The sequence below is a fragment of the Homo sapiens genome, chromosome 16 (assembly GCF_000001405.40).
Source record: "Homo sapiens chromosome 16, GRCh38.p14 Primary Assembly".
Classification (NCBI taxonomy): Eukaryota; Metazoa; Chordata; class Mammalia; order Primates; family Hominidae; genus Homo; species Homo sapiens.
In genome coordinates, this window is record NC_000016.10 from 82885538 (window position 1) to 82910557 (window position 25020).

The window sequence follows — 25020 nt, forward strand, 5'->3', positions numbered from 1 at the left end:
TCCATCCAGCCATCCATCCATTCACTTATCCTGCCTTGCATCCTACCTTCTATCCATCTGTCCTTCTACCTTTTCTTCTATCTATCTGTATATTCTTTAATCTATCCATCCATTCATCCTGGGAAGAAATAATAGTATCTTTAAAATGTAGTGCATTGGTTACAAGCACAAGATCTTCAGTGAATCATTTTGTGCATTCAAATTCTGTCTGTATGTATCATGCACTTTCTATGTAACCTTGGGCACGTTTTTATGCTTCTATGGCCTTTTCAGTCTTTAAAAAATGGGGTTAATAATAGTGCCTACCTCATAGGGTTATGTCAGGATTTAATGATATAATCCATATAAGATACTTGACAAAGTGCCTGGCATAGAGGAAGTTCTCAGTAAATATTAGCTGTCTTTATCATTATTATCCTCTTGCTAACTTAACAGAGTTTTCAAGATCTGGTGAGAAAACATGTAAAAGATACATAATATAATGTCTATTAAAATTATAATTATAAATGCAGTCATAAATATACACATGTATATTTCATTTATGTTACTGATATCCATCTGTTTCATCAGCTCATTTTAAAGGTTTCTTTAATAGCTGAAAAATATTCTGTAGTACAAATATTTATAATCAAACTGTTATAGCTATTCATTTAGACTATATCAAATTTCTGTTGTTATTAATAATGCTGCAGTGAACATCCTTATTCAGTTATTTCCTTAGATTAAGTTTTCAGAAGTGAAATTGGTGGTTACAGAGTGTACACATTGCAAAGCTGAATCATATTGCCACAGTGCCTGGTGTTTGCATTTCCATATGGTTTTGATGGCCAGGTTTTCTGCACTATTGCCAGTGTATGTGTTATCACTGCAAACGTTTGCCATTTCGGTAGACAAACATGGGATGTTATTGCTATTTTATTAACTTGTTTTTATTTGATCACCAGCAAAGTTAAACTTTGCCATGTGTTTTTTGACCATATTCATTTCTGTTTCTTAAAATTATCAACTTAGAATATTTGTGCAATTTTTTTTTTTTACATGTGGAGCTTGTTCTTAATGATTCTGCCAGGGCTTAAAATTTTTACTTTCTAATGAGAAAGTTTTGGAATTTACTCTTTTCCAATTTATGAAAATTGGACACCGGCTCCATGCACTGTTCTAAGCCTTTTTCTGTGTTCTCTGTGATTCCTTAGAGCTTACTAACTGTGACCCTCCAGTCAAAACCATGTTTAACCAAGTGCTGATGGGCTTGAGTCCATTCCCAAGTGACTCGGAAGTTGCTTACTTCCCTACCTTTGAGTGGGTCTCATTTTATCTCCGTGATGTTTTCCTTGTCCTTCTAAGTCATATTCACTCTGCTCATTGAAGAAAAATGGTTGGTAATTGTAGTGGATAACTACTCCATTCTGTATGCCTTCTATGTCTTTTCTTGATGTGTGCACCTCTTTCTTTATCCTTATTTTTAAACTTGTGCTTATTAGATAGGTTTCTGTACAACCATATCTGTGTAGGTTTCTCACCCTAGAAGCCTCCTTTTAAATAGGGCAAAGAAGCTACCTAAAGATTTCTCTTTAATATAGGGAGGAAACCACTTTCGAACTTGTGCCCAAAGATTTATCTTCACCAATGGTCTAGGACAGAGGTCGGAAAACTTTTACTGTAAAGGGCCAAATAATACATACTTTCAGCTTTGCAGGCCAGCTGGCCTGTGTTGTGACTACTACACAAAAGTAGTAAGAGTCTAATTTGGCCCAGGAGTTTGCTGATTCCTGGTCTAAATGAGAGTAAAGAATGGGAAAGGGAATGGTGTGGGAGGAATAGGCATTTTCATTCATTGTTGTTAATGAGAAAGAGTCTTCAAACACCAGCATGCCCCTGTGGGTTGGATTAGGTTAGAAAATCCTTGGAGGACTGCCTTTTCCACCCCAGAGTCCTGGAGAGAAGAATGCAGCCTGACAGGAAGGATCTGGGTAGGTGACATGTGGGGAGAGGATTAAAAGAAAGGAGGGCCAGTGGCTCACGCCTGTAATCCCAGCGCTTTGGGAGGCCAAGGTGGGCAGATCACGTGAGGTCAGGAGTTCGAGACGAGTCTGGCCAACGTGGTGAAACCTCATCTCTATTAAAAATACAAAAATTAGCTGGGCGTGGTGGTGCACACCTGTAGTCCCAGCTACTCTGGAGTCTGAGGCAGGAGAATTGCTTGAACCCTGCGGATGAGAGGTTGCAGTGATCTGAGCTCGCACCACTGCACTCTAGCCTGGGTAACAGAGTGAGACTCCGTCTCAGAAAAAAAAAGAAAGGAGAAGAGTGTCTCAAGGGTTTTTTTTTCCAGCAGGTGAACCCAGCCTCCCTAGCAACCCAAGGTTAAGAACGTGTTGAAAACAGCATGGAAGCCCATTCTGGAAAGCAGTGGTGATTGTGATTCTGAACTTAAACAGCTTCCCTTAAACACACTGTTACTTCAGAAAAGTACGGTTTTGGCCAAAGGGCTGTATGTCAGGTATTTACTTGCTCATCTTGGTGGGTTTTGTTTGTTTTTGTCTTTTTGGTTAGCCATCTAAGACATTATTTTTCTGAGATCCAAGTTCCAAAAAGCACCGAACAACCTTTTGGGAAGAAAACATACATAGTGTGTAGGTGCTACCGATTTGTATCCTCTATGACCTTGCCATAGAAAGGCAAATCAGACGGGCGCTCCCATTGCCTCATTGCAGGCTGCCATTTTCATATAAGCTTCATGAAATCTGGGAGAATAAAGGCAAAAGGTTTGATCTGGCTGTGACAGGGAATATTGTGAAGCTGCTGGACTGGGCCTGTGGGTTGCCTGTGACTGTCATCAAGTTCTTCTTCTCTGGAGGCTTCAAATTCCTCCTCTGTCAAATGAAGGGACTGGACTAGAAACAGAATGGCAAGTACAGGGCAAATGCCCCAGTGCTCTCTGTCCCTGCTGCCTCTGGCAGCCACTTCTGCTCCCCCACAGCATCTCCTGGTCGCCTGGACAGAAAGCCTCCTCCATGCAGCACTGCTCCAGGAACTGTTCTCAGCCATTAAAGCAGGGTTCAGAAAAGCTTGGAGGAAGATGGCCTTGTAGACCTCCCCTAGCACTGAAGTTCTGTGATGCTTAGCATATGTGAAACTCAAGTTTCTTCTGTTCCTGAATGGGGATTATTTATTGCCTTGGACAGCAGCCCTGAAACTTGATCCATTTAGCTGCCCCTAAGTGTAGTTAAGCCCCGTGAAATGTAAACTTCGCAAGTAAATGGACCATTGCCATTTGCCTCTGTCTTCTAGATGCAATTGTTTTCTATAGTCTGTCTTGTGGCCGGTTATAAAATGTCTGTCTTGAGCAAGCTGGGGAGGAGGGTGGATAGCTTTCGATTTGCCCAAGTTTGTTAATGTTTCATTGCTTGGGGTGTTTTAAGATCCTGTGCCTTTAATAGATTTCCTGAACTAACAGTTTGCCTTATTTACTTCCCTGGGCTATAATCATTATTGTGGCTGACCATGTTGATAAGCTACTCTGTGAAGCCTTCTCTAATGAATGAGAGTCACTCTTCAAGTGGTTATTCCCCTTAACCTTATTTTCAATCACAGAAAATCATTCTCACAGAAAGTATTCTTTCCTTTTGTTCAAAAAATACCCCCTTGAATGTTTTAAATGTCACTGTTTTTTCAGTTCTAAATAATTTTTAATTGGTTTTTACATGAAGTTAACTGTAGCACTCTTGATTCAGGAAAATTGTGCTTGTCTGTCTCTCTATTATCTCTCTCTCTCTCTCTCTCTCTACCTACCTACCTATCTACCAACCAACCAACCTATCTAAAATCTATCTATAATCTATTAGTTTTTCTTGCTTCACAAATGACTTAAGGCAACTCGCTTTCGGGTTGATGGAAGAAAAAATACAAGTAGCAAACTTGGATGAAGTTGGAAGAAACTTGGCACCCACTGTGTCTGGCATGTGCAGATATGAGTGATGGTCTATAAATTTAGGATCTTATTAACAGCCAAAGCAAAGAGTACAATTTTTCCATGTATCTGGTTTATAGTATCCACAGGATACAAGCATGCTGGTTGATCAAATGTTGCATCTATATCTTTGTGATTAACACCTGACAGATATTTCTATGATGCGTTCTGACAGGGTTACACATGACAGAGTTGGCTCTGTCTATGTTGTACTTAATATTATTGTAGAAAGAAAAATTGAGTATATCTTGTGAAAAATAGTTCCATTTGAAAGTCCATTTCTTTCAAATTCAAAGAAAGAAAACAACTAAAATACGTAAGTCTAAAGGGCATGGTTGATTTAGGATTTTCGAGTGGGAAGACTATTAAAAGAGATGCTTGCTCAAGAGAGTATAGACTCTTCTTTGGAAATTGGCATGGGCCACAGACCTCCATAGGTAATACATTTAAAACACAAATGCTTTTTGGGGTACTGTCTCCCAGTACTTTGTTTTTGAAGATTTGTGACTACATGGTTTCAGTGCTATATCTAATAAAACTGGCTTCAAAACGCAGAGCACTAGCATTTTCATATGTTTCAGTAAGTCTCCCAGCCTTCGTGATTCTAGAGACACCAATCAGTTGATGCTAGCTGCAGTTGCTAGAGATTCCTTCCTGGAATTTTGATGTAGGCTTGTAAGGAGGGACCATACTTAACATGGAAAATTAATGACCTGAGAGCCTGTCCCAAAAGAAATGCTCCAGGCAGGAGATCTTCAACAATAGCCATCTAGAGTTTCAGTTATCTAGGATAGAACAGTGTATAGGCTGGAAAGACCCAGCCCTTTCAGTAAGGCATGTGAGTTTGATCACTCACCACCATCTCCAGCCTCAGCCTTCTTGGAAGGCCCCAGACTTAATGGTCATTTCCAACCCTCTTTAAAAACGATTCCTTTGCTAGAGTCGGAATAAATAATTGAGGCAGGCTTCTCCAGAATCTCATTGGTGTCAGCTATGGAGTCATCAACAGATGAAATTATTCCATCAGGATAGTAAATTAAATGGCAGTCTTAGAGTGGAGTTTTCAAGGTCTTCTTACATTTGTAACATTTGTTGTCCTACATAGTCTTCATACAAACTATAAATTGAGCATGAGAGACATTCTTTTTTTTTTTTTTTTTCCAAGACTAACTTTTGCTCTGTAGCCCAGGCTAGAGTGCAATGGCATGATCTTGGCTCACTGCAACCTCCGCCTCCCAGGTTCAAGCAATTATCCTGCCTCAGCCTCCCGAATAGCTGAGATTATATGCATGCACCACCACGCCCAGCTAATTTTTGTATCTTTAGTGGAGACAGCATTTTACCGTGTTGGCCAGGCTGGTCTTGAACTCCTGACCTCCAGTGATCTGCCCACCGCAGCCTCCCAAAGTGCTGGGATTACAGGCGTGAGCCACTGTGCCTGGCCGGCAGCAATTCTTTTATATACTTGGAGGGTAGGCACTTGAAGCCCAGAAAGGCTAAAAGACTAGGACATTAAGTCATAGAGGAGGGTTTTTTTTTTTTTTTTTAAGTTTTGTTGTTGGTCGTGATGGTGTTATTCAATTCTTTTATTATCTCAGAACTCATGTCATACTGCCCCAGCCTCTGTATCAGCATTATGTAGCAATGATGTTACTGAGCCTGATCTCTGTAAGAGGCTCTGAATAAAATGAGTTCCATGCTGGAACTTATGTGGAGAATCTATGTTCTGTATCTCTCCCTTGGGGACTCTTAATTTCCTGGGTAGTGAAGAGGTCCTCTAAGAAAGAAGCAGATTTCGTGGAACCCAGGATTTCCCATCCTCTTTTTATCTGCACTGCATTTTAGGAGCTTTTAAATTTCTGTTCTGGAGTTGGGCATCTCTTCAAGGTTAAGACTCAAGGGCTGTTTGTATTCCTCTTGGATTTGCCTACATTTAGCAAAGCAGAAACTCAACACATTGTTGAAAATACTGAATTTCACTGGGCATATATTTTGGGTTGTCTGGAAGATCCCACCTATTGAGTACACTGCACCATCACCCCTCCAACTGCTCATGCACTTATCGGACATATGTTGTTATTTTTGGATCAGAAAATACCATCCCAGTAGAAGTAGGAGTGATCAGTGTGACAGAGAGCTGTCTGTATTGCGGCTGTAAATGCCAGTGACCATGGCATTGAGCAGACCATAGGTTATACTTACTGTCGTGGTTCTCACCTAAAGTACACATCACACTTTGGGTTTCCATAGGACCAGGCAACATAATGACCCACCTGAAGATGAAATGATTTTGAAATACCAGGCCCTTATCATGGGCTAGGGACAGTGTGGACATTCATATATGTGAATGCTCCTTAAAGCTTCCCTATAACCTTGGATACTGCTGGTCACGTGTCCCTTAAATATAGATGAGGAAATTACAGCTCTGAGACAATTGTTGTTGGTCAGTATCCTTTTGATCCTTTGTTTGTAAATCTTGCCCAGTTGGGGCTGCATGAGGTTGAAAGCTCAGACTGCTTCACTTCCAACCTCAGCTCGTCCCTTTATGAAGGGAGGCAGCTCAACTGCCTCCCTTCCAACCTCAGCTCATCCCTTTATGAGCTCATAGCCTTGGGCAAATTACTTAACCTGTTGGTGTTCAGTTTCCTCATATGTGAAATGAAAATGATGGTATCATTTCCTCCTAATGCTGACTTGAGGATTAAATGAGTTAACACACATAACGCTTAGGATGGTGGTGGACGTACAAAACACTCAATAAGAATTTGCTTTTGTTATTATTACTTGTTCACATCTATGCAGCATTTGTGCCTGCATGCTCACACACTCTAGTCTTACGCAGCTTATTCACCAACATTGGTTCGGGATGACATTTGACTGTTTTCAAAAGTCAAATCCACTTTTCATGGACAAAGATTTTCCTTCATAAGTGTTATTCAAAAGATTGTGCTGTCTGCCCTGAAAACAGTTCTTATGGAGGAGACCAAAAGTATTTTTGGTAAATGACAGTCTGTGTAGAGTGAGTCATGTCACTAGATGTGTACTTGGAAGGGCAAAACAGTTATTTCAATGTACAAATTATTGCCTCATTACTTTATCACATACCAGAAGAGAGTTTGGGATGGATCTAAGAAGTATAACAAAACCACTGCAAGTTGTTCTGTCATTTAGCATTTAATTAAAAATAACTAGAGAAACAACTATTTGAAATGCTCAGTGTTTTTCTTCTTTTTTTTTCATGTAACAATATGTTTAGTGAATTTTTCAAATTACTAAAAGCATTCAGGCAGTTCTAGAAATTTGCATCTTGTAACCCTTTAGTTGTTTTTATTTAGAATGTTGGCATTTTACAGTAGTGTCAAGTATGGTAATTATTTTTCATAGATATTGAATTTAAAAGAGTAATCCCTAAACACATTTTGACATTTGGCTCTCCAAGACAAAGTTTGTAAAAAAATTGTGACCTGTGAACGGTAACTTTACTATATACTTGTTTGACCATTATCTAAGAAATATGCCTTTAATGAATAAGAGGGAAAAAGATGAGGTCAGACATCAAAGTCCCTGTAATTCTAATGTGAACAACCATGATTCCTGAATTCCATGTAAATTAGCACTACAGAATGAAAGCAAACAAACAAGCAAACCTCAAACAGAGAAACCTCAAAATTACTAGAGCCAATTAGATATTCAAAGGAAAAGTCTCAGTTTTTAATACCTTATAAAATCACACAAATACATACACATATGTGTTGGCATCAGCAGTTTTGATAGACATGGCTTAAAATAGGAGAAATCCAAAAATAGATAAAGGCACTTTTAATATGGCCTAAGCCATAGCAGGAAGTATTAATAACATGCCGATTTTTTACTCCAAAAAGAACTGAGTGTGCAAAGCAAACCAAGAAAGAAATGTGGACTGGGCCAACTAATGGGTTTCTAATCATTGTTAATCTACAAGTGTGATCAGTTTATTATAAAGTGTTAATTTTTCCTGTGGGTAATACTTGGAGAAATACAGTATACCACTCATTTCCAAAGTGATGAAATGGCTTTCTGTTTGGCATGCAGGAAAGTGAACCTCTTTAGTTTAGAATATGGGTTGGATATGCTTGCCAGGTCTGGGCTATTCCCTGCTGCCTCTGAGCGAAAGCTCAGGAAGCCAGAACCTGAATCTCTTCGAGGAAGTTCTACAGCTGACTTTTAATCATTGGGCCATAGCACAACACCTATTAGCTCGCTTACGTCTAGGTCAGTAGAACCTCCTCTGGACCTCAGCTACTCTTCCCACTCTGCATCTCGAGACACTTGCCTTCTTTCCATGTGACTTATCGCTAAGCTCCTGACTGCATGAACCTCCTTCCTTCCACTGGTCCAAGTGACATCATTCCCCCGTCCTCACTCCCAATACCACCACTTCAGTAACCTCCCACATGTTTTCCTGCTCTACTTTAATCCAGTCTACACAGAGAGAGCAGCCAGCCACTATCCTGTTTTATTTATTTATTTTTTTACTTCCTTAACAGACGTTTACTGGATATGTCCTGAATCCCAGTCACTGTGTTAGGAAGTAGCTCAATCCGTTGTCTGTACACCTCCATGCATCCGTTCCTTCATTCAATGATGAGTACATAGGACAGGCCAGTTTTGTTCTCCAGGCTGGTCTCGAACTCCTGGGCTCAAGCAATCCACCTGTCTTGGCCTTCCAAAGAGATGAGATTACAGGTGTGAGCCACTCTGCCCAGCTCCAGGGCAGGATTAAAGGATTGTTCTCCCATGTTGGAAGAAAACAGAGTTCAGGCCCCAAGGCAACTGACATTTTACTGGGCCAGACAGTGCCTTAACAATAATAGGGCAGGCGTGGTGGCTCAAGCCTGTAATCCCAGCACTTTGAGAGGCTGAGGCGAGTGGATCACCTGAAGTCAAGAGTTCGAGACCAGCCTGGCCAAAATGGTGAAACGTCATCTCTACTAATAATACAAAAATTAGCCAGGCATGGTGGCGTGCACCTGTAACCCCAGCTACTTGGGAGGCTGAGGCAAGAGAATCGCTTGAACCCAGGAGACAGAGGTTGCAGTGAGCCAAGATTGTGCCACTGCACTCCAGCCTGGGCAACACAGCAAAACCTCCATCTCAAAAAAAGAGAAAAAGAAAACAATAATATAATTCAGGTAGTGAAAACATCCCAGAAAAAAATAAAATAAAATAGAGACGATGGGAAGTAATGGGAAGGCTGTAGCTAGCATGGCCACGGCAGGCCTTCCCAGCAGGGCATTTGAGGGAGACAGAAATAAAATGAGAGGCAAGTGACGTGAATATGTGTGAGTGTGCTCTAACCAGAGAGGAAGACTATGGCGAAGGCCTTGGTGAGTCTGAGAAATGCCAAGAAGGAAGGCCAGGCTAGGGAGTCGTGAGCAAGGTGGCGGATGGGAAAGGTGGGGACACAGAGGTAGGGAAGGGGGATGATCTTGTGGGGCCTTTTATGCCACGGTAAGGAGGTTGGATTGTATCAGCCATGATGTTTTCCTTCTTCCTGTCAAGGTGAAATTTATATGACGTAGAATCACTCATTTTAAGGTGAACAATTCAGTGGCATTTAGCGTATTTGCAGTGCTTTGCAATCACCACCTCTACCTAGTTCAAAACATTTTCATCACCCCAAAAGGAGAGCTCATACTCATTAAGCAGCCGTTCTGCATTCCTCTACCTCCAGCCCTTGACATCCACCAATACTACTTTCTGTCTCTAAAAATTTACCTTTTTTGATATTAAGAAGAAAAGACACCCACACATATACTCAATTGTGTCCTTCCCTGGCTTGTTACCCTCCCTCCTTCATCACACTTAGGCTCAAACACAAATTTGCCACCATCCCCTCATCATCTGGTCCTTTTCCATTTCTTTAGTCTAACTTCCTGCTAGTCTTTTCTTCACTCTTTAAGAGTAAAGGCCCAGACTCACTGGTTCTCCTCAAGTGGTGTGTTTGTTACAATTGATGAACCCACATTGACACACAATTACCAACCAAAGATGCCATGCTTTATATCAGGGTTCACTCTTAATATTATGCGCTGTATGGGTTGGGATAAATGACATGCATTCACCATCATAGAAACTTTGAATTATGTGAGGTAGTAGATGATGAAACAAACATTACATACTAGGAAAGGGACGCCTCTCCCTTTTTTTTTTTTTAAAGAGGGGTGTTTTCTGCTTGGTTTTGTCCATTATAAACTGTTAGATTAACCATTTGTACAGCCAATGAAATAGCTTTAAGGGAGGCACTCAGGAGCTTGAACACGTCCACAGAAATTCCAAGGTCTCTCCAGTATCAACTTGCAGTACGTCAAGCCAGTACACATGGGAGAGCCTTGAAGGGGTACAAGATCAGCCTCCCCTCTGCTCTTTGAACACACTGAGCTTGTGGCTGCCTCAAAGCCTTCGCAGGCATTATCCCTCTTGCAAATTTTTTCATGGGTAGTGCTTCCTGTCATTCAGTTCTCAGATCAAACACTACCTCTTTAAGAGCTCTTCACTGCCTACTTTAAGGCATCACCCTGTTTTATGTTGTTTATATAATATTTCACAACCTGACATTCTCTCATTCATTCATTCGTATCTTACCTGTTTCCCTGTAGAAGTATAGGCTTCATGGTGAGCAATAGCCTTATTTTCCTTGTTAACGGGTGTATTTCCAGCACTTCTTACAACACTGCCAGGCATATTGCAGATTGAGATAGTCTGAGTCTTCTGAGAACTAGGATTAGGATTTTTTTTTTTTTTTTTTTTTTTTTTTTTTTTTGAAACAAGGTCTTCCTCTGTCTCCCAGGCTGGAGTGCAGTGGCGCTATCACAGCTTATTGCAGTCTTGGCCTCCTGGACTCAAGTAATCCTCCCACCTCTCATCCTCCTGAGAAGCTGGGACTACAGGGGTTCCCCACTATGCCTGGGTAATTTTTGTATTTTTTTTTTAGAGATTGGGTTTTGCCATGTTGTTCAGGCTGGTCTCAAACTCCTGGGCTCAAGCAATCCGCCTGCCTTGGCCTTCCAAAGAGATGGGATTACAGGTGTGAGCCAAGGTGCCCAGCTCCAGGACAGGATTAAAGTGTGAAAAAATTATTAGGGGATATACCTGGGAGATCAAATGAGGTGGGAGTTGGGAGACTGGAAGAGCTGTCAGACCAGATGCAGGTCTGACTCTCAGTGAATAAGAGACGAAAGAAAGAAAGATTGAGTGGAATTATTTTAGACTGCTGTGCAATTCTTTTTTTTTTTTTTTTTTTTTTTTTTTTGAGACGGAGTCTCACTTTGTCACCCAGGCTGGAGTGTAGTGGTGCAGTCTCGGCTCACTGCAAGCTCCGCCTCCCAGGTTCACAGCATTCTCCTGCCTCAGCCTCCCCAGTCGCTGGGACTACAGGTGCCCGCCATCACGCCCAGCTAATTTTTTTGTATTTTTAGTAGAGATGGGGTTTCATCATGTTAGCCAGGATGGTCTCAGTATCCTGACCTCGTGATTTCCTGCCTCGGCCTCCCAAAGTGCTGGGATTACAGGCATGAGCCACCGTGCCCTGCCACACTGCTGTGCAATTCTAAAGAATTCTGGGAGTGCTGTCAGAGAGTACTTGAGCCAAAGTTGCCCATCAAAAAAGTTTTAAATTCACAGGAGTGGGTTTGCCTTAGCATAGCTTTTGAACTAAGTAACTGGCCAGCAGCAGCATGTGGAAGCATGACCTTGGCAAGAAATGTGGCCACAGATATCAGCACACAGCAGCTGGGGTAGCTGATCAATGTACTTCCTTCAATGAGAGATCTGTGAGGTGCATTTCCATGGCCACCACAGAGATGTATAAGAAATATTAGTTCAATGAATGAATAATGAATAAATGAATGAATGAAAGAATTACTCCTTCATGTTATGTTTATAACTGGCTCTTCCTCCAGGTTTTCTGCCTCACTTTTGGCTCTCTCAGCTACTTTATTACTGAGAATTTATCTGTACTGTCTAGTTTTACAGCAACGCTGGGAGCTGCTATTATCCATCCCCATTTTATAGATGAGGAAAATAAGCCTCCAGATAGGTTATGCAACTTACTCAACCAAGCTCAACAACTAATAAATGACTCAGCTCTGTCTTCTGAAGTTGACACTTAAAGCCCATACCCTTAGCTATTAATGCTGTACATTGCCAATGCAAGGTGGATAAAGACGTGGAGAAATACTCTGCCCTGCTGAGTAGAGTCCTGAAACTGCAAGGGGTGGGGAAATAGCAATGAATCCTAGGCTTAGGCCAGGTAACTAAGATGTGCCTTTATGAGTTTATCTTGATCATTTCTTTATTCATTCATTTATCATTGGCCATTTATTCATTGTTCACTAGTCGGCAAACATTTATCAAACTCCTTTGCATGCCAGTCCATGGACTAAGTGTTAATCTTTATGCCTCTGATGCTTATCATCTGCACCGTCCAATACAGTAAGCCACGTGGAGCTATTGAGCACTTGAAATACAGTTGGCCTCAATTGAGATGTGTTGTGAATATAAAACATATACAGTTCTCAAAGAGTGAATAAAGAAAAAATTATTTTTAAAATCTCATGAATAGTTTTTATACTGATTACATATTAAAATGATAGTTTTTGGTCATATAATGTTAAACGAAACATATTGTTAAAATTAATTCCACCCATTTCTTTTTATAATTATTAAGGTGACATTAGACAATTAAAAATGAACATGGCCGGGCGTGGTGGCTCATTCCAGTAATCTCAGCATTTTGGGAGGCCAAGGTGGGTGGATCACCCGAGATCAGGAGTCTGAGACCAGCCTGGCCAACATCGTGAAACCCCGTCTCTACTAAAAATACAAAAGTTAGCCGGGCATGCTGGCATGTGCCTGTAATTCCGGCTACTCAGGAGGTGGAGACAGGAGAATTACTTGAACCTGGGAGGCAGAGGTTGCAGTGAGCCAAGATCTCGCCACTGCCCTACAGCTTGGGAGACAGATTGAGACTCCATCTCAAAAAAATGAACATATGGTTCCTATTATAATTCTCTTGAATTATAGCACTGGTCTCATGGATGATATAGATAGTGGTCTAAAAGTCCAGAGGTTTCTGAGGTCACAGAGCCCGGAGCAAATGTCTGTGGGGAATGTTTACAGAGGTGGGAGATTTCACCTGGGCCTTGATGAGAGCACTAGATTTTACCTGATGGATGAAGCAGGGAATGGTCTTCCCAGTGAATGATGGAAGGGTGGAGTAGTGGAGAGAAAAGCTTCATCCAGTTATTTGGGGCTGGAATTCTAAGTGAAGTTGTCTCAAGTTGGGTTTTCTAGGAAACAGAGTCTGAGCTGCAGTTTAGCATTTTTATTTATTAAAGTGCTTGTTTATTAAAGAGTATGCTTAACTTCACTCAGTATGTAGATATGGGCTTCCCTGGAAGGGGCAAAACCTTGGATGAGGCAGCTCTCTGCAGCTGAGGTAATTCCCAAGAGGACCAGCATTCAGACTGTCCCCCAAGATCACACTCATCAACTAGGATGACAAGTCCTTTTTGAAGGACCATCTGAAGGGTCCATCACAGTGTCCACTTCAGTTGTCTAGAGAAATAGAGGGCACAGTGTGCCTTCCTTTACTGCAAGCTCAGTCCACAGGGTCTCACATTAGCTGAGTGTGTGGGAGGAAGACCAAGTGTCTGTGATGTCAGGTGGGTATTTCGGAGTGTATATAAATTACAGTAAGGGCAGTGTCAAATGAGTATGTGTAATGCATCTACCCATGGTCCCTAGAGTCCACTAGAAGACAATTTCTTGGTGTTTAAGAGATTATTCTTTTAATAATTCATTGATCTTAACAATACAATACATCAATGGTTTACGCAAAAGCCATGTTTTATCTGCAATGCACTTCTAAATTGAAAGGTATCATAAAATGGCACTTAACTTTCAGAATCCTTATGTTATCTAAAGCTCAGTTTCAGATTTGTTTGATGATAACGAATATCCTGTCTATTTTATTATCTAGTACAAGCCCTAGTTTCGGAACTCAGAAATAAATGAGGCAATGCCTGCAGGTGGGTGGCACGTGTAGGTGCCTGTGTGTGTGTGTGTGTTTGCGTGTTTTGGAGTATGCATGGATTTGGCCTTATAGTTTATTGAGAGCATTTTTGCACTGGTTTATAGTCATGCAGTGAAGCACCTCTGCATTTCTCACCTGGCCCATTTAGTGTGGACACATTCCTTTGTCAACAAGGACATAAAGCCACAATCTCCTCCTCCAAACAAAACAAAGTGAATCGCTATGTGTTCGGTATAATGGGATTGAGAAGTAGAGTTCTCTTTGCTGTTATTTCTCCATAATAGGCCCATGATTTCCTGGCCCCTGGCATTCAGGATAGTGAGCATGTGCAAGTGATTACGAGGGCAGAGCAGTTGCCAGTTTTCCCTGTAGCTTTCAGAATGTCATCAGAAATCTACACGTATGGGCAGTGAGGTCTGGCTCTCCCATGTCTCCCCTGCCCCATCTTGATTGCTCTCTCTCTCTCTTGCTTTCTATTTCCCAGAAACATGAACTTACTTTGACTTTTCCAAATATACCATGTTCCTTACCACCCAGTGTCCTTGCAGCTGCCATTCCCTCTGCCAAGAGTGATTCTTGCTGGGCCCCTTTTAGATCACATCTTTATTCCTGGTGGACAGAAAGAACCAGGACAACAAGCCCATGCCTGTCCCAAGTATAGCTGAGTGCTTGACACTTAGAGAATGTGAATAAGTGAATGAGCACAGCATAAATGAAATACCACAAACAGGCCAAGCCAAATAAACTCTGAAGTTGAGTTTTACTTGGTTATTAATGATCTTTGGCACAAGAGTTTCAGTGACTTGATAAGGCCACAAGCCAAGTGTGGCCTGGTTCAAGAAGTACAGGGATGATACAGACAAGACAGAAAGGAAATAAATTCTATCAAAAAGCTCAGCTGTCTTGAAAAAGCAAGAGATAAGAAATAACTTCAGAGGTGGGTAGAATTGAGAAAAGGATTTCTATTTTGTTATTTTCCCCGAATAAATAAGCCTTAAACATGTTTGTAAGCTGCTGTGAAGTAACCAGCAGAGAGGAAGTGATTGAAGATGAGAGAGAGAAACAGAGTAATTGATGAACCAACGTCCCCGAGGAGACGGGAGGGATGAAATCAAGAGTATAGGTCAAGAGGCGAGCCTGGGAGAGGCCAGTGCTAAGGCAGGTGATATTTCTGCCCGGCCGTTAGCTTTTGTGCAGAATAGTGAAGGAAGAATCAATCACTTCCTTTCTGGCTGGGTAAATGCCAAGAAATTCTATGGCAGAAACTTCCCCAGGCAGGAGACTCAGAATTAATTGTTAGGATTAAGCATAAACCAAAACGAGCAGGGAAATCCCAAGCACTAAATCCCAGGAATGGGGCCTTCATGGATAAAGGAACTTCATCTGTGAATGATCCAGGAGCCCAGAATGCCAAGGGAAGTTTCTAGGTTCTTGGAGATCAAGTTAATGCCCCTCATAAGGTTGTTTCACATGAGCCAAAATGTATATTGATTTTTTTTTTTTTTTTGCCTTTATTACACTTCCAGAAAGAGAGCATGATCTCCTGGAATCTGTTTAGGGAATAAAAATGTCCGTACAGAAGAAAAAGGTTGTTTTTTGACCTTCTGCTGACACTGTCTTCTTGCTCTCATCACAGCTTATTTTCTAGCAATATGAGGCCCACAAATTAGGAATCTCCTTGCAGGCCTTCAAATATGATTTACCTGATTAATAAAATCTTAGTGGAATAGATAGTATTCTCCTGTGTGTGTGTGTGTGTGTGTGTGTGTGTGTGTGTGTGTGTGTCTGATGATTGGGGTTCTTGGATACTTAGGGTGCAGGGATGAGGGCAAGCTGACCTTGTTTTTCATCTAGGAGACCTGACAAAGATGGTGGGCTGAGATAGCCGTGTAAAGCTAAAACAGAAATACTTAGTGAACAAGCAAGTGTGTGAGTGAATAGATCAAAGAATGAATGAAACTACCCTCTGCACTCTAGGTTCTAGAAGGCACCCTGAAAAAGGCATGTTGCTTGGGGTATAATAATTGCTCAATATATTTTTCAGTAAGGAATAAAAGAACCAACAAATATTGATTGGATTAAATGGATTAATAACTGATAAACACTTACAGGGCTGCGGCATGTGCTAGGTATAATGTATTACATAGATAAAATGGATACGAACCATATACCAGGCCCTGTGCCAATTGCCTGCATGTAACTCAAAACAAAAGACAAAGGTCTTGCCCTCATGGAGCCTGAAGTCCAGTGAGGGTTTCGTTAAACTTGTAGGACACCATTTCCATGCCTTCCATCAGTAGAGCAGATTCTCTGTGCAGATACTTTTCACACAAACAATGCCTAACCATCCCAGAAAATCTGAGCGGTGTTAGCAACCTCACTTTCTCTGAGATAAAGCTGAGATTTCTTTTAGTGACTTGTCCAAGGTCACATAGCTATTACGTGGCAGAGTCAAGACTCAAACACAAGTCTGTCTCATTTCAAAACTTGGGCTGTTTGCCTATATCAAACTGCCTTTAATTTGCCCATTTTAAAGCAGGAAAGAACTAAAAGGCTTGCTTTGATGGATGTGAGGTGATTTGTTAAAAGCTTAAGAGACTGCCATTTTTCATGATATGCGTAAATGTGCCCTAACCTCCTGAAGCAATATAAAGTGGTTCTTTATGTTCTTAGGGTATTCCCCATCTAAGGTAAAAATTATCAAAACTACTGGGGAGAAAGCTTCTCTGGAGATTTGCCTTATAAAATAAACAGAAATCAATTTTGACTTGTTTTCTAATCATGATAAATGAAGCCAGGTTAGGAGAAAAAAAAAAAAAAGTCCCAGCATTAGTTGAGGATCATTTTGCCAGGATACATTGGTCTTTGACAAGCAATTAAGAAGTCCTGTGATTGTGCCTGGCAGTGCCACAGCTCAGCACACTCCTGATTAATTCTCATTTTCTTTCTTTCCTCGGGATTTATTTACTCGTTTCACTTGGAATGTGTTTAGCTTCTTAACCTCCCCCACCCCTCTTTTCTCACGTGCTTCTTTGCTTGGCCCCCTACAACTCTACCTATACATTAATCAGTGTCATATTCATTACTGCTGGTGAAATGCCATACAACATTGGCATTCATTCATTTTTGTCTCTTCTGTTGAGCCATTCATGGTAGATTTCCCCAACGAAACCTACCATGTTTGTTTTCTGTATTTCCCACCAGATGTTCTTTTAAAAGCCAGAAGATGTCTGCCTTGGTCTGGTTGGTATAAAGAGGGTTCATCCAATATAAACTGCCAACAGTAGGTTGGAAATACTCATCAGTATGGAAAGGGCGAAGTCTGGGCAAATTGGATGGGTCTTGGAGAAGCTCTAAGAGTTGGAATCTACATCATCATCTTTGTCTTCATGGCTAGCAACTGTTGACTCCTTTCTCTAGTTCAGGCATTCTGTCTGACTCTTACATTATTTCTTTGAATCCTTACAACAACTCTATAAAGATGGTAATGGAAAAAGACAAGATGACCAAGATTCAGAGACTTTAAAGCACATGAGCAGTAAGTGGTGAAACCACCTCAGGCCTCTGCCTGTTGACTTATTCATAGGATAACCCACAGAAACACTAATTCAAACATGGTGTCAGAAACAGCAGCAGTAATGAATGCCTCAATGAAAAACATTTGGCCCAGCACCTTGGTTAGGTTGAGTTTGCATGGCAACCCTATTGAATCATGGGTTTCTCAGAGCTGGGAGCTGCACCATGCCATCTACCTGCACCTGTCCTCTTTGGAGGCTGGGTTGGTGTTTGACCCTGTGAAGAGCTTTGGATTGCTTTGCCTACCCGCAGTGGACTTGCTCACACATAAGTGGGAGCCCTAGCTCATGGTCTCCAAATTTTTATCCTCATCGTTTCTTCCCACCTAGTTTTTTCCTAATTCTGGCCCTTCCTGGCCACCCACCCTGCCATTATCTTTCTCTGACGCTTAGGACTTGAACCCTTTTTTCATCCTTTTTGTTTTATTCTGGTGTTTTAGTCGTGAGCTAACTGGAAAATGCTTCTCACAGTTTAATTGCCGTGGAAACTTTCTACTTGGAATCAGACCCTAACGGGTTTTTTCCCTTTCCTTAGGGGGCTGTGCATATAGGAAAAGGGAACATATATGTTATCCCTCATGTGTTAGGGGCTGTATAGTAACAAGCCTGGAATAACCCTTAGAGCACCTTCATAGGGAAGGTAGGGTTTATTATCCATGTTTCGTAAATAAGAGCACTGAGGTTGAGAGAGGTGATGCAGATTGCTGAAGTGCCTATAGCTAGGAAGTGGCAAGTCACAATGGGGCCCCAGTTCTGTCTGCTCTAAAGCCCAGTCTGTCTGTCTGCTTCTCTGTATGTCTCTCTTTTTCTCTCTCCCTATTCTTCTGGAAGTCATAGAATCCTGTGATTCTCTTCCAAACTGCTTTTTTTTCTATTAAAATTATAACCCGTTATTAAAATATTTAAGCACACAAATTAACTGGTGCTAATTATGATATTTTGAATGGTAATAAGCAATTAGAGTGAGATTTAAAGAAGAAAAAAACACCTGTATATAACTTGGCATCTTTTGTAATAAATACAAACACCTAAATATAACTTGGCATCTTTTGTAATAAATACAAACTTTTGTCAATCATGACTTGATCTAACCGATATGCCTCAGGTCTGCACAGAACGGAAATGTTTTTTGGAAATCCTAGTACTTCAGAAGGCTTTGGCATCCAAATCCATTGCAAGTAGCTTTCTATTTAGTCTCTCATTTTCTCTCTAAAGAGAGATTGATATGATGATTTTTAGCTTAATTTGAGAGATGTTGAGTTTTCTCCAAGACACCCTCGTTGGTTCACCTTGCTCTGAATCCTTTGTCTTCTCACCCTTTGTGGCAAATTGAGACGGGGGAAAACTATTAGGTTGGGGCGAAAGTAATTTCTGTTTCTGCCATTACTTTTGCCCCAACCTAATACCTCCCAGCAAAATGCAGGGGTTGCGGAGAGAAAGGGAGTGATGTATGGAGAGTCAGTCATAGTACATGTGCAATTCAAGATACCTGGGTGGGCATAGTAGTCTTTCCCCTGGAGTTCTATGTCATTGCAGCCTCCTCTCCCATCACAGCATAATTTAAGTGAAGCAGGTTTAACGGGTGGTCAGTATTTACCAGAGCCAGCCTTCTGCTTCTGGCCAGCTGGGTGACTTGACTAGCAGACCATTACTCCATGTGGGCCACCGTTTCCCATGAATAGAGTGCGACATTTGAACTAAATGAACCTAGGTTTGTCCCATGGAGTGCAGTTTCTCCCTAAATGAACCTAGGTTTCTCCCATGGAGTGCAGTTTCTCCCTAAATGAACCCAGGTTTCTCCCATGGAGTGCAGTTTCTCCCTAAATGAACCCAGGTTTCTTCAAAATTCTAGAGGCTCTGACTCTAGCAGCTGCAATTGGACTCTTCCCTAGAAGCATCTCGCTGAGTCTGAGAAAGGCACGTCAATGATTCTTCAAGGGAAGTAGGGGGAAGCAGAGGCAGTGCCATTCACAATGAGCCACGGCTGCTGACAGCAGTTCTGTAACCATCCGGTGTGTTTAGACGGGAGAAAGAGCTTGAGAATCGCGATTATATGGATCATCTCTCTCTAGATGGACTTCTTTTATGGGAGATAATACTGAGGTTAAGAGGTTAAGCAACTTGCTCAGGTCACGCAGCAATTTATAATATAACAAGATATTTATGAGTAAAACATATATGAACTAATTATATATCTGATAGTCGTTTTTAAGGAGGAAGAAGTTACCATAAGAAAAAGAAAAACAGGACTTGGGTGTTATACCATGAATCACACGTGTGTGTGTGTGTGTGTGTGTGTGTGTGTGTGTGTAAGATAATTTTTTCAGCAAATTAAAAACAAAGCCTAAGAAAAATGAGAACTTCCTGAACAAAAATATTCAAAATGATGACTAACTAGAAAGTATCAGAAACCACATTTTCCTTAACCAGTACTGTCTCATACAAATATAACATAAGTCACACAAGTAAGTTTAAATTTTCTAGTAGGTGCATCAAAAAAGCAAAAAGAACCAGGTAAAATTAATTTTAATAATGTACTTTAACCCATATCTAAAATGTGACTTCATTGTGTAATCAATATGATAAATTATTCACATATTTGACCTTTTTGTACTAAGTTGTTAGAATCCAGTGTGTATTTATTTTGCACTTGTGGCATGTCTCGATTAGGACGAGCCACATTTCAAATGCTTAGTAACCACACATGGCTACTGGCTACAGCATTGTACAGTGTGGCAAAAGTTTCTCTCCTTTTTCTCTTTTCCCAGGCTCTGTTGAAATTTTTCTTTCAGAAAAATATTTAAATAGGATATACTCTGACTTTGAAAAAATACACATATGTGTATGTTTATATAAGTATATGAATATATACATGCATATTTCTATCTATCTACCTGTCTAATATCTGTCATCGATCTATCTACCTACCTACCTACCTGTACATCTATCTCTCTAGAGATCTTCTCCACAAAAGCAAGGAAAGAGAATCTCTGACACTATATTTTCTTAATGAAGATGGAGAAGTTTTTGCAGTTCTCATTATTTCATTTCAGGCTTTCAGATGTTCAGGAGCCCTTTACTAGAAGGTTGATAGATTAATAATCTCCCCACTAAGCTTATAGCTTAGCAGACCTCCATGGTGGCCATGATGAGGATTCCTTTAACACATGATTGGCCCTTAGTCCCCATTTCTCTGGTGTGAGTTTTCAGCTTTTGTTACCACATCAAAGCTCCGGCAATTTGTGCAGGAAACCCCTTGAAGCAATCATGAACCCACTTGTACTGTAAGAGTTCTTACTTCCATGTCCTAAAAGAATAATAACCACAAAAGGATATTTCCTTGCTAATGGACTGGGGAGAATGGACTGTGACAAAGGCTGGTTTCTCATTGCCAGGATTTTAATGAGGGGACTCACCTGAAAATGTCTAGTGCACATTAGGCTCTTCTAATAGTTTCCGAGAGCTGGAGTAACAGATTACCACTAACTCAAATGGCTTAAAACAACAGAAATGTGTTTTCTCACAGTTCTAGTGGTTAGAATTCCATATTCATGGTTTCGGCAGGGCTGTACTCCCTCCGAAGGCTCCAGGGGAGGATCCTTCCCCACCCCTTCCTAGATGCTGGTGGCTCCTGGCAGTCCTTGGCATTCCCTGCAGGTGCATCTTGCCAACCTCTGCTTCCATTGTCTCATGACCTCCTCTTCTGCCTCTCTGTCTGTGTGTCCTCATGTGTTTTTGTAAGGACACCAGTCTTTGAGTTTAGAGCCTACCCTAATCTAAAATGACCGTAACTTTGTCACATCTGCAAAGGCCTTATTTCCAAATAAGGTTGCATTCTGAGGTTCTGGATGAACATGGATTTTGGGGAGGCATCATTTAACCCAGAGCAACTGTCACTAAAATTTTCCTACCAAGATCCCTTACTCTAGTTTAATTGGCCTCTTATTCAAGGCCTACTCCATAAGTTATTTTGGAATATAGAATTTCAGAACAGAAATGGGATCTGATGATTGCCTAGTTCAGTGGAACCCTTTCTTTAAATGGAAATTTAGTCACAGTAAAGGACAGAAAAGAACGCGAACCAAAGCTTAGGTGATATGTTTGCAGGAGGAAGGGGTGGCCCACAGTGACCCCCGCTGCCCCCTCCTCTTTACCCCTCACTAGGCTCCCGGAAGACTTCCAGAGCATCCCAAGGGCTCCACAAACCCCTGTTTAATCATAATCCCTTTACTGTAGGGATTAAAAACTACTGTTTAGGGAGATATAGTGAATTTTCCCAAGTCACACTGCAACTTGAATCTGAGGCTTGACCCATCTATGAAATATCCAAACTGTCGGTCCATTCATTTCTGCATTACCAACAATGGTCAGTTATATATTTTTCTTTGAGAAGAGAAAAGCAAAACAGTCCATGCTTGCAATTCTTTTCTTCCTTTTTGTAAACTATGACAGAAAATTCATGGTGAGGCCAAAGCCATGACAACACCTGTGTTGCCTCACATTGATTTTCTGTTTCCAACTGGAGGAAGAGGTTCCCGGAACAGCCACTTTTGAGTCAAGTGTGTGAGGAAGGAGTCTCTCTTGCCAAGGACTGCTGTAGATGATTCCTGCATAGCCAGCGCTGTGCAGGGCCTCCACTTGAGTGAGCACTCTGTTCCCATTCTATTTCTCACTAGTATTTTGAGTATGTTCCCCCCAAAGTAGAGATAGTATGTCTTTGAATGCAAACCATGGGCTGAGCCCTCCAAATTACTTTTAAAAAATTAGCTTCTTCAAAAAATTTTTTTCCACTTCCCTACTGTCTTAAATATACTGGTGCTTCTGCCCTAAGACCTTTCAGGAAAGGTACATGTTCTACCTGATTTACAACAATAGGTTATTCTGGGTAAATAATATATCTGTTGGATTTATTGTGCTTATTATTTTATTGGACCACACTATCCTTAACCTAGAGAAGAAGCTTGAGGAAAGGAGCTAGGGTCAGGCAGAAGACAGGTATGTTTTGAAATAAGAAAGGAAAAGGAAAACGTCTGGAACCTTGACATTCCACAGGATATTGTCCCATGAATACAAAAGGTGATGGGTAGCTAGAACCTGAGGGAGGAGGTGCCTTCTTTTGGAATTAAAATTCCAGAATGTTCTGGAAAGTGCCAGATGCAAGACCAAGTAGGACCAGCTAGTAATGGAAATTCCTCCCATATTGACAAGGTTGATGAACACATGGTGGGTGCAGCTCATGGAACACTGGGAGGTCAAAAGCGGTCTCAGTTACCTTTGTACAATGGACATGGCACCCCAGGTTAACACAGGGGCCACCTGCCCAGCAGGCATGGGCATCAGATGAAGGCATTTTTTAAACACCTTATTTAACAATTCAGAGTCTAGATACGAGTACATTCTCATTTTAAATAGTTCAGAAAAACAGATATTCCCTTTTCCTCCTTCCAAACATATTCTTCCCTTAGAGGCAACCAACATTATTAGTTTAATGAATCACTTTCCAGACCTTTCTCTCACATTTAGGTACATACAATCACCCCTCGGTATCTGTGGGGGCCAAAATCCAGAAACCTCTGTGAATACCAAAATCTGCAGATACTCAAGTCTCTTTTATAATATAGTGTAATGTTTGCGTAAAACCTAGGCACATTCTCCCTATACGGTTGACCCTTGAACTACATGGGTTTGAACTGAATGGCTCCACTTATCCACATGTTTTTACCAAATGGCAAATTGAAAATACAGTATTCATAAGATATAAAACCTGCATATAAGGAGGGTCACTTTTTCATACACAAGGGTTCCACGGGGCTGACTGTGGGGCTTGAGTATGCATGGGTCAGGGTATATATGTGGGGGTCCTGAAACCAATCTTCTCCATATACAGAGGGACAACTATACTTTAAATCATCTCTAGATTACTTATGATATGTAATACAATGTAAATACTTTGTAAATAGTTGTACTGTATTTTAAAATTTGTATTATGTTTTATAGTTGCATTGTTATTTTTATTGTTTTAAACAATATTTTCAATCCATGATTGGTCAAATTCACAGATGTGGAACCCACAGAAACTGAGGACTGACTGTATATGTGTGTGTGTGTGTGTGTGTGTGTGTGTGTGTGTGTGTGTAGACACGTAGAATTTTGTGATCTAGAAGTGTTAAATATAAGAGGTAATTATGTGAGGTAAATAAAATGTGTGCGTTAAATATAACAGGAATACTACTATATGAATTTTTCTGAAATTTGTGTTTTAACATTTTAAGTTGTTTTTAACTATTCTTTGGTACGGACATTGTATTAGTCTGTTCTCATGCTGCTGATAAAGCCATACCCGAGACTGGGTAATTTATAAAGAAAATAGTTTTAACTGACTAACAGTTCCACATGGCTGGGGAGACCTCACAGTCATGGCGGAAGGCAAATGAGGAGCAACGTCACATCTTTTGTGGTGGCAGGCAAGAGAGCTCATGCATGGGAACTCCCATTTGTAAAACCACCGGATCTCATGAGATGAGGGGAACAGCATGAGAAAGACCCAACCCCATGATTCAATTACCTCCCACCGGGTTCCTCCCACAACACATGAGAATTATGGGAGATCTCATCTTATTCAAGATGAGATCTGGGTGGGGACACAGCCAAACGATATCAGATGTACTTCGCATATCATGTATAGATGAGAAAACAGGCATTTCTTCCCAATTTTTGCCCATACACATGTGGTGGACATTTTTCATGTGCACCAATATCTGGTCCTTTTCTGCTTCCTGGTTACAAGAGGTTTTATTAATACCTTCCCTCCCTGCCTTCTTGGAGTTAGCTGTGGCCATGCCACTGGATCTGACCACTGAAATGTACTTGGAAGTAGTGGCATGCGACCCTTCTCAGCCAAAGTATACAATTGCCGGTGTTCAATTCTCCACCCCTCTTTACGCATCCCATCAAATGCCGATGTCTGAGTCATCTGTGTCCCTGGGTGTCTATGCTCATCAGAATCCTGCTGCTGACCTGCATGCAGCATGTGGCACAGGCAAGAATTAAACCCTTGTTGTTTGACATCATGCAGACTTTGGAACTACTTGTCATCACTACATAATCCAGCCTATTCTGGCCGATACTCATAGCTATGAGCAGCCTTGTACATGCTTCTCTCTGCACCTGTGATGACATTTCTCCAGTAATGAATGTCTATTGAAAAGTTAAAACATTAAATTGCTTTTAAAGTACCTTCTTATCCCTCCAGCCCCTACCTTTTGTCCCTAGGCTCCTCTGCATCTGTTGACTTTAGATTTTTTTTGTATTATTTATTCATGTTTTATTAGATAAATATCTTCCCCAGACAAACCTTGAACTCCCTGGAGTCAACCGATTCCCTTGCCCAAGCCTCTGGT

General features: G+C 41.1%; 1 protein-coding gene and 1 long non-coding RNA gene across 9 annotated transcripts in view; both read left to right on the forward strand.

Moving 5' to 3' along the window:
- The window catches only part of CDH13 (cadherin 13), a 1173672-nt gene that overhangs the window by 258569 nt on the left and 890083 nt on the right, over positions 1-25020 (forward strand). The gene's annotated exons all lie outside the window — the stretch shown is intronic.
- On the forward strand, positions 11455-23812 carry LOC124903733 (uncharacterized). Its single transcript, XR_007065146.1, has 2 exons — positions 11455-19331; positions 19373-23812. It is a non-coding gene; the product is annotated as an uncharacterized LOC124903733 (long non-coding RNA).